Raw genomic sequence first — 10,816 nt, forward strand, 5'->3', positions numbered from 1 at the left:
CAGGGCCTGCAGGCCTAATCTTTCACCTTCTCCAAAGTTTCCCAATAGACTATTTGCGAAGATGGAATAAGGCCCACATCCCAAATAGAAGGGTCAGGGCACAGCCAGGCTGGAAGGGAGCACAGAACAAAATTTTCTGTTTTAAACCATGGAATTTGTCTTCTGAGAATTAGCCATTTGGGTCACAACTGCAAAGTGTGTCAGGTGATTAAGTAATAGATCAATGAAAGCTGGAGCAGATCTGAGCAAGGAACATGAGTCTTGAAATGAATGCCTGGGCAGAGTCGGCACCTGGAACAGGTGATTTCCGAAGGCTTGCACTGTTACTTGGCCTGCCTCCTCTTGGCTTGAGATCTAGGAGGAGAATATATAATAGATAGGAATGCCTGTCATAGTCACAGGCCATTAAAAATTCTCTGGGGGAATACTTTTTTCTCTGAGTAATTTGGCTGAATACAAAAGAGCAAATACATTCTTAGAGATGACATTTGATATAAACTTCCTGTATGCCAGGCGCTGTTCGAAACACTGTATCTGAATTAACAACCCTGAGAGGTAGGTATTATTCCAGTTTTACAGTTCAGGAAAATGAGGCACAGAGTGGTTAAGTAAATTACCCAAGGCCACACAGCTAGGAAATGATTAAACCACTGGAAACTTGACCATGTTACATTGCCTCACTATAAAGAAACCTTAAGTACATTCTCTAGCATCCCTCAATGAAACCTGCTACCTTTCTTTTAAGTTTTTAGAATATGTATTAAAAGGAAAGAGTATGCTTTTCGAAAGGGAAAAATAGTTTAGCTACGTCTTGCAGGTTAGTAATGTCAACTAAAAATCAAAATAGCTTTGATATAAAATTCACTATGGACTTTACCAGCATCACCTATTTTCTGGGTTGAACATAATCAAAAAAATTAGTCCTTAAAGCATGTTTTACTGAAAGATCTAGAATCTTGGGGCAAGAGAATGTCATGAAATCAGTTTCATGACATCGTTTCTCCAGCTGGATATTTTTGCAGAATGTTTTACCTAGCAGTAGACACTGGATGAGTTAGCTACCAGATGGTCTTCTCCTTTTTTAAAAAAAAACCAAGGCCAGGCACGGTGGCTCATGCCTGTAATCCCAGCACTTTGAGAGGCCAAGGCGGGCGGATCACGAGGTCAGGAGATCGAGACCATCCTGGCTAACACAGTGAAACCCCGTGTCTACTAAAAATACAAAAAATTAGCCAGGCATGGTGGTGGGCGCCTGTGGTCCCAGCTACTCGGGAAGCTGAGGCAGGAGAATGGCGTGAACCCGGGATGCGGAGCTTGCAGTGAGCGGAGATCGCACCACTGCACTCCAGCCTGGGCGACAGAGCGAGACTCCGTCTCAAAATAAATAAATAAATTAAAATAAAAACAGGTCCTGGTGGAGAACATAGGCTCTAATGGCCAGTTTGCATCCTGTGCCTTAAAGCAGAGAGATCCAACTTAAAGTTACCCTGGGTGGAGGTGTGAGGAGATTGGCTTCTAGGCTCTCATTGTTTGTCTTGCTTTTTCCTAGGCCATTGCAATCATGGAAGTAGCTCACGGCAAAGATCATCCATATATTTCTGAGATCAAACAGGAAATTGAAAGCCACTGAAACTATGCAGCATTTCAGTTTTCATTTAAACACTTAGTTCAGAAACCTTAAAGGATTTGAATATTTCAAATTGCACACGTCACTCCAGCATCTCTGTAAAATAATTGGAATGAAAATACTTCTTGCACTTAAACACTGCACATGCCGTACTTTGAGGTTAGTCTGAATCTTGAACTTTAATACCAAATTAATTTTGAATGCTTTTGTTTCCTAAGAGATAATGGCATGGTTTCATATGTTATACTTTGGACAGACAGAGTTTTAAAAATGGAATTATTTTTTCTTTCATGCCTCTTGTAATGTTCTGAACAAACTTGAATGATGAAAGTATTAAAGAGATATCAGTATTTGAGGTTTGTATTTTCTTCTGTCTCTGGGGAGGATTTCTCAGTGGTGGTGGGAGCCCAGTCTTGGAGTGAAAGTGACACCTGCTGTCCATAATTCAGCAAGCTCAAGTCTTCTCCATGGGACTGGGGTCGGGCAGCCTCTTTATTCTGCAGTTGCTCTTGTGGGGCTGTGCCTGTGGAGGAAGAAAATGGGAAGAAAGAGAAAAAGGTACACGAAGGAAAGAAAACTATCATCTATCTGTGGTGGAGGAACAGTCCAGTGACCCAAGTGCCCTCCAGCAGGCGAGGTTTTGAATCTGTTCTCTGGTGCCTGGTATTCCTTCAGTGTGTAAAGGTGCTTAGTGCGTGCTTTGCTTTCTTGGCTTTTCTGTCCCCATCTGTCTGAAAGCAGACTTGCCATCTCTCATTCTGTTGATTGTTCTGTGCAGTACTCTCCTTTTTGGAAAAACTCCAGGGTATGCTTGGGAAGGAAAAAAATGTTTTTCCTTACCAACCAACGCTGTGTTGTTGAGTAAACACTGATCTCTACCCACACAGACAACAGGAATCCAGCTTTCTGCAGCCCCACAGCCTAGACAGCAGCAACCTGGGGAGTTGTTTGTTAGCAACCATTGCACAGAAGGACGCAGCACACGTTCCTGAGTGCAGGGGTGTTACTCTTAGAAAAGCGTCTTGTAGTCGAAAGAGAGGAACTTCCCCACTGGTTAATAAGTAAAGCCTGTTGAAATTTACATGTCAATTACCTTTCATAGTCATGGTCCGAAAACAGCTAGAACAGCTGTAAATCTGGTACATTTTCCTTCCCTCCTCATCTACACGCACCCACATCTTCACACACACTCATGCCCCTCTTTCACACGCAGTTTGCTGCACACAGTGGGATTTAGCAGATAGAATGCATTCTCTTGTCCTGTGTAGTCCAATAAGACATTTACTGAACACCTGGTACTATCTATGCTAAATGCTCTGAATAGCTCTCTAGGTGCAAAGAGAAGAGTAAGGCATGGTCCCAGATCAGTGGAACTTAGGTTTTAAGAATGTTCATTTACTATACATTCTGTGACGAAGCCTAAAATAAACTTAGCCTACCATCTCTATAGGTTTTATAAAATTTGCAAAAGTAATCCTTTCTCAGTAAATTCAAGTAATGGAAATGTATATGAAAAAAGTAAACTTCTTTGTTCTTCACCAGTCCCACTGCGTGGAGCTAACTGCCATAAACAGTTTGCTTTATATGGTCCCAGGTTTTTCCATTCCTGGATGATGATGTAGCTATATAAATAGATTTAGAAGAACAAAGACAGGATGGTACTGACATAGGATTTTGTAACGTGCTTCTCCAAACGAACAAAATGGATCTCTTTGCATTTCAGCACTTACAGATTTGCCTCATTCTATTTAGAGGCAGAATATTGCATTGGATGCATGTCATCATGGACTCGGTACTTCTATTTATGGACAGGAGGTTTTTTTTCCCAGTTTGCTGCTATTACAAACAATGCCACAATGAATGATCTGAAACATAAAACTTTGCGTTGTGTGGTAGCATTTTGGGGAATAGATTCCTGGAAGTGCAATTTCAAGATCCAATAGTGGGAATATTTTTAAAATTTGAATAAATATAGCCACATTTCCTTTTGTAAAAAAAAAAAAAAACTGCATCAGATACAAATAAGATAGATATAATAGTATTTGCTTTCCTCTCCCTCATAACGTTGTATTATCATTAAAATGTTTTTGGCAATGTAATGTGTGAAATATTTTGTTTTATATGCATTTATTAGTGAGATTGGACTGTTTTTCATATATTCAGGATTTATTTTATTTCTTCGGTGAATTGACATTCATGGCTGAGCTGTTTTTAGCACAACACTTTCTGACACCGAATGTTTGAGGTTTTATCTCACACCAGCTATTCTCTAACTCTTTGGACACCAACTGTGTGTCCTACAATTCAGTTCTATTCTGATACTACCCTGGAGTTAGCGTCAGACTCCATAGGTTTAAAGACTCCATCCCATAAGACTTCCCTCACTTCAGATGCCAGTTGGAAGGATCTCACTCGGTCACCCAGGCTGGAGTGCAGTGGCGTTATTTTTTTTGTTGTTTTTAGAGGTGGGTCTTGCTGTCTTGCCCAGGCTGGTCTCAAACTCCTGGCCTAAAGGGATCCTCCCACCTCGGCTTCCCAAAGTACTGGAATTATAGGCACGAACCACCTTGCCTGGCTCCCAGGTTACCCAGTTTCTATCATCTGACTTGGCCACAAAGTCAGGGGGTTGCCACAATCCCCTCGCCTTCATGTTCGATAATTTGCTAGAATGGCTTATCAGAGTCCGGAAAACATTTTACTTCCTATTACTAGCTTATTATAAAGGATACAAATGAACAGGCAAATGAAGGGTACATAGGGCAAGGTCTGGAAGGGTCCCGGGTACAGGAACTTCCATCCTCATGGAGCTGGGGGTGTGACATCTTCCTGGCACATGGACGTGTACACCAACTCGGAAGCCCTCCAAACCCCATTGTACAGGGTTTAAATCATTGATCATTTGACTTAAATGATCATTAGTCATTTAATAAAATCATTAGCAATTGATGATTAACTCAGTCTGCAGCCCTTCTATCTTCCCCACAGGTTGGGGAGTTGAGGCTGAACATTCCAAGCTTCTAATTAAGGCTTGGTCTTTCTGGAGGTCACCCCTCATCCTGAAGCTACCTAGAGGCACACCAAGAGTTGCTGTATTAGAACAAAAGAGACTCCTATCACTTAGGAAATTCCAAGGGTCTTTTAAGAGGAGCTGTGTCCCAGGAACTGAGGACAATGACCAAATAATCTTTCTATGACACTAAAGGACACCCTTTTGGTCTCTGACCACAGATTACTCATAAAAAAGGATGATATTTACTGGCATATTTCTAGCTTCCCGTGTAGTCACTGGTAATCCAGTCTATCATCCTACTGCATGAAAATGTCTCCCTAGCTGAGGCCACTCAGGCGTACAGGCTTCTATTTGATCTTGTCAGGTTCCACAGGCGAGAGTGATCTTGGCAATATGTCTTTACCCTTTCAGGCCTCTGGTATAATTGAGCTAAGAGACAATATCATCTCTTGTTCTGAGCCTTTTTCAAGATGTCAGCACGATACTGGATTTCCCCTATTACATAACTCATTTAATCATTCCTTTGCCCTCAGCTGCTATTTCTCCTCTCCATTTATCCCCTTTGTTCATTCACCTTTGGAAGAGACATTAGGTTCCACCTCTGTGCTTGTCTAGGTTGCAGACAGCAATACTAGTCTAACAAAAATGCCTCCCCTTCAGTCCACTCCCTTCAGGTACGGTAGGATTCTGTAGGTACAGAACTAATGGGCTATTTCTGACACTAGGCAATAGAGCTGCATTCACTGGTAACCCTGATTTTGCCAGATAGATAGGATGAAGGCCTGACCTGCCCCATCAGACCCTTAAGAATTCTGACATAAAGGTTTAGAAACGTAGTTCAGTTTCTTGCTTAGAAATCATCCCTGTTTCTAGCACTGGTAGTTGCAGCCCTGGTCCTGGGACCACTGCATCAGATAGGAAAAAGAAAGTTGAGATGATGTAGGAAAGGAAAAAAAAAAAAAAAGTATGGTTATACCAGCATCTTTTCCTTGGGAAGAATGGTGGTCATACCAGCACTCTTTCCCAACCCCTCTGCCCCAGTTTCACCAGGAAAACAGGACTCTCTCCAGTGGGGACACTCCCTTAGGCCCCCCCTTATTTTATGTGAGCACACACTTGTGAAGGCATGGAAGCCAGCCCTTCCTGCCTTTATCTCCCCCCATTTTAGACAGTAAATATTTCAACTGCCTGTTCCAATTCTCTATTAAGCCATTTCTCTGAGGATAATATGCAACACAAAGTGCCCATTTGCTGAGCTATCTCTTCCCACTGGAGGACACGGTGGGCTGCAAAGTGTGTCCCTTGGTCTGGAATGGGTGCAGTATCTTCTGGTTCTTTTGTAGCACTCTAAGCATAGTTGCATCTACCACTGGGTAAGCAAATCCCAGTCCAGAGTCAGTGTTGATTTCTCTCAGGACCCAGTTGTAGCCTCCTGGGCCTACTGGCATTAACCTGACTTGTGAGCTATGTTCAGGGCCCCCCACCCCACCCAAAACAGCCCTTACTGGCATTTTGTTTCTCAGAGGGTGCAACAGGAGTATGTCTAGATTGAGCCCATCTCTGCATTATTGCAGCCTGTCCCTGCCATGTCCACTCATTTCATGGACCTAGGTGGCCACCTAGGTGAGCACATGAGGGTATCTGCTGTTGATTCCATTTACCTTCTGATGTCAGAAGGGTTTTCTTTTGATGGGCATTGATAGGTCCTACTTTAATGCACTCTTCAAATTCCTATGGTGGTTCCCATCTGTGTGGCCCGTCCCTTTAATGGCCCAGGTTTCCATTCCCCTTCTGCCTGGCCATATTCACCAGCACCAGTGAGCTGGTAAAAACCAAAACGTGGTGACAAACAGCAAGCAGTTCAGTCCACCAAGCTGACTTTTACCCTTCTCTGATCAGAGTAGTGACCTTCCAAACTAGATGTCCATTCACTTTGGAACTGTAGTCCATAAACCAAGCAGTTCTTTGTTGGTTAGTGAAAGGCTGTTTCTGGGCACTGTCCAAGTGGCAATAGATCCGACAGCTTCTCATGCAGTACCAGTCAGTCCTAGGACAAAACAGCTTCCCTGTTTGTGAATATGTCCTTGCATTCCTCAGGTAACAAGATCCTGTAGAAACCATTTCATTTTATGATGGAACTCTTCTGGGCACTGCCATCCACGTTAGAGTGCTTCTCCAACATCATCTAAGGCATTATGGGTATTTCAGGTTTCAAGATTATTTTATGCCCTTCAGTCATAGGAGTATTTTCAATTAATGTCTGATGAGATGAATTGCTTCTCAAATGGAAATTTTCTAGTCCACAGTCCCAGTAGTCATCGCTGGGAGGTGCTCACAGGCTTTTGCCGTAAGTCCCAGCCAGTGCTCCACAAAGAACTATCCCACAGAGATTTTGTGTATATCAGCACTCCAGCTTTTATTCTACACTGTGTGGGCTTGGGCAATCTTACTGGTTCCCATTTAGCATGTCCAATTAATATTGCTTGAAGATGATTTATACACCTTCTTCTTTGCAGACACAGTTCCTCAGTTAAACCTAATGTCCATCCCCATAATACATTCAGATGCAACTTTTTGTACAAATTTTCACCTTAATCTCATCAACCCCTACAGTCCTAACTGTAGCCACCATCGGACATCATCAACAAGTTTTAGTTTTACAATATTAGGTAAAGAAAGTGTTCCCCAAGATGACATAATATCCATTCCCACAAAACATTCAAGTAAAGGAGACACAATTTTACAAAAAGTCTGTTTAAACATTCTAACTTTCATAATCCTGTCAACTCTTCTGTATTCCCTCAACCTAATTCTAGCTTATGTTAGAGCTTCACCAGTGGGTTTGGATACCACAGTCCATGAAGCCCCCATGTAAAGGAGTTCCAGAAATTTCTCCACCCCCTAAATGGGTGGAGTACATAACCCATTCATGTACATAACCCATTCATGTACATAACCCATTCATTTACATAAAGCTTTGGGTCACCAGCAGGGGGTTGAGGCAAAGAACTCTGACCTTTTTGTCAGTCTTGGTCTTGGTTAATCTTACTATTGTCCTGTGATTCCAGGTCAGGTTTCTCATTGTAATCTTGGCCTTCTGGCTTTTAAAATTTCTCCAAACTGGAGTAAATAGAGTGAACTTGTTTGGGACCCTTTAATGTTGGGTGACTGATATGTTTTTGCTGTGTCCCCACCCAAATCTCATTTTGAATTGTAGCTCCCATAATTCCCATGTGTTGCGGGAGGGACCTGGTGGGACATAATTGAATCATGGGGGTGGTTTCCCCCATACTGTTCTCGTGGTAGTGAATAAGTCTCACGAGATCTGATGGTTTTATAAGGGGAAACCTCTTTCCCTTTGGCTCTCATTCTCTCTTATCTGCTGCCACGTAAGACGTGCCTTTTGCCTTCCACCATGATTGTGAGGCCACCCCAGCCACATGGAAGTGTGAGTCTGTTAAACTTCTTTTTCTTTATACCCAGTCTGATAAAGACATACCCGAGACTGGGTATGTCTTTATCAGCAGTGTGAAAATGGACTAATACCATTAGGAGACACTTTGGTCCACCCAAACTTTAATAGTGCTGTATTAAGACCTTTGTTTTAACCCTATCAATGTCTGTCTTAGTCATACCTTTTTTTTTGTTTGTTTTTTTGAGATGAAGTCTCACTCTGTCACCCAGGCTGGAGTGCAATGGCATGATCTCAGCTCGCTGCAACCTCCTCCTCCCAGGTTCAAGCGATTCTTCTGCCTCAGCCTCCCAAGTAGGTGGGATTACAGGTGTGCACCACCATGCCCGGCTAATTTTTTTATTTTTAGTAGATATGGGGTTTCACCATGTCGGCCAGGCTGGTCTCAAACTCCTAACCTCAGGTGATCCACCCACCTTGTCCTCCCAAAGTGCTGAGATTACAGGCGTGAGCCACCACACCTGGCCTCATCCCATTTTTTAATAACCATTCAAGGTTTTCACCCTGCTGGGACAAGTCTGTTGACTCTTTCCCTTTCTTTTTGCTTTTTGTTTTGCCACTATCAATGTTTTCTTTATTCACTCCATTTCTTAACCATTTAAAAATTTCTACCCTCTTAGGATGAATCCCTGGACTCATCCCTCTACCTTTCATACCTATGCCTAATTCATATTTTCCTGTGAATTAGTCTAGTGTTTTAATTAGCATCAGTAAGAACCATGAGAGGAAGCAGAGAGAGCAAATTTGATAGGGCTTCTAAGACTGTTGCTCAGTTTTGCAGCAGTAAAGTTATATGCGACACCCACGCAAAAGGTGCCCATGCCTCTTAATCATAACATTGACCATGATCTTGGCAATGGGCATATTCAATGGGTGAGTGTCCCAATTACCAAAAAGCCAGTCCCACATGACTTGCATACACAGTTTATCAGGTACTTCATCAGAGTGTTGCTTTTAACATTTATAGGGGGAGTTGGACAGCCTCACTTCTCAGAGTAAACATACCTCATAGTGCCTTTTATCCAGTCCACCAGGCTGGTTGTTTCTTCAGGAATAACCTGCTGTGTGTCTGTGTCAGATATAGCCATCTGTGATTGTTCCACAGTGAGCAGTGAGTCCTCTGTCAACCCAGACATGTTCTTTCATTCTGCAGCATTCAAAACCAAAGATACTGTCTCTAAATCAGTTACTCTCAGAATCCACTTAAGTAAGGGTTTTTCAGGAAGCTGATGATATTGATCTACAAATGCGACAACTCTTCCACACTATCCCCCCTGGTTTCAATAGTTTATTGGTTGTACCTTCCCCCTACACACACCAACTTCTTGGTGACCAGAGGTCTTAGAGGTACCCTTTGTTGTCTCCACATAATTCTACCCTTTGAGGGCAGCTTCAAGGCTAGTGGCCAAAGTTCAGACTGACCAAAATCTGAGTTTGGTTTAGCATCAAAGTCCATCCAGCACTCTTTTAATTTCACTTTAGCTATTACAGATATAACAAAAACCAAGGAGTTATATGTTCTGCACTTTTCCTATTCATTTACATTTCCTTACGCATCCAATGAACCAATTCCTCAGCAGTTAGATCCACCTCCAAATTCCATTTGTAACTAAATTTAGTCACTGATAACAGCACAGCTGTCATGCTGGTCCATATCATGGGTGACTACATGACCACCCAGGAATCAAAAGTTCTGTATCTCCCACCCTTTCATCCTTTCTCTTCCCAAACCACTTTTCCATTAGCTAGGACCATTCTAGTGAATCCTAAATTTTCTGACACTAAATAATCAGGGTCTTTCTAATCCCACTTCTGACACCAATATGAGCTGTTTTGACTCACAACAGTTCTGAAACCAAATGTGTGGTGTTTTTGTTTTTATGCCTCACAACCATTCTCTAACTCTTCAATCACCAACTGTGTGTCCTACAATTCAATTCAACTCTGACACTAATTACCCAGAGTTAGTGTCAGACTACACTGGTTTAAGGGCTCAGTCCCACAAGACTGCCCTCACTTCAGATGCCAGTCACAAGTTATTCAGGTTCCCAGGTTAACCATACTTCTGTCTGACTTGGCTACAAAGTCAAGGGCTTCCCACAACACCTCCTCCCTTATTTTATGTTCATTAATTTGCTAGAATAGCTCACAAAACTCTAAAACACACTTTACTTTCTATTACTGGTTTATTATAAAAAAGACAAATGAATAGGCCAATGAAGAGGGTGAACATAGGGTAAAGTCCGGAAGGATCCTGAGAGAAGCTTCTGTTCCCATGGAGTTGTGGTATGCCACACTCCTGGCATGTGGATGTATTCACCAACTCAGAAGCTCTCTGAATGCTATTGGTCAGGGGGTTTTATGGCAATTCCATTACATAAGCACAATTGATTAATTCACCATTGAAATTGACTCAATCTCTAGGATCTCTTTCTTTCCAGAGGTTGGGGATGGGGCTGAAAGTTCTAAGCTCCTAATCAAGTCTTAGTCTTTCTGAAGACCTGCCCCCATCCTGAAGCTATCTAGGGTACCACTAAGAATTGTCTCACTACAGCCGGGCGCGGTGGCTCACGCCTGTAATGCCAGCACTTTGGGAGGCCGAGGCGGGTAGATCACAAGGTCAGGAGATTGAGACCATCCTGGCTAACATGGTGAAACCCCGTCTCTACTAAAAATACAAAAAATTAGCCAGGCTTGGTGGCGGGCA

The 10,816-nt window shown here is 42.6% G+C and overlaps 1 protein-coding gene across 2 annotated transcripts in view, besides 1 other annotated feature; it reads left to right on the forward strand.

Annotated features, from left to right (window-relative positions):
- Nucleotides 1-1,977, forward strand: part of SMYD2 (SET and MYND domain containing 2) — a 55,973-nt gene extending 53,996 nt beyond the window's left edge. For both annotated transcript variants that reach the window (NM_020197.3, XM_047425700.1), the window contains one exon: nt 1,550-1,977. In NM_020197.3, the coding sequence (NP_064582.2) occupies nt 1,550-1,630 (81 nt within the window). In that variant the 3' untranslated portion in view covers nt 1,631-1,977. The remainder of the gene's footprint in view (nt 1-1,549) is intronic.
- Nucleotides 7,378-7,879: an enhancer, noted in NCBI's record as "NANOG hESC enhancer chr1:214515875-214516376 (GRCh37/hg19 assembly coordinates)". NCBI's record gives its function as "activates a minimal SCP1, AML or CMV promoter by ChIP-STARR-seq in primed H9 embryonic stem cells {active_cell/tissue: H9 hESC(primed)}" and the evidence as "EXISTENCE:reporter gene assay evidence [ECO:0000049][PMID:30033119]".

This window comes from Homo sapiens, chromosome 1, assembly GCF_000001405.40.
Source record: "Homo sapiens chromosome 1, GRCh38.p14 Primary Assembly".
NCBI lineage: Eukaryota > Metazoa > Chordata > Mammalia > Primates > Hominidae > Homo > Homo sapiens.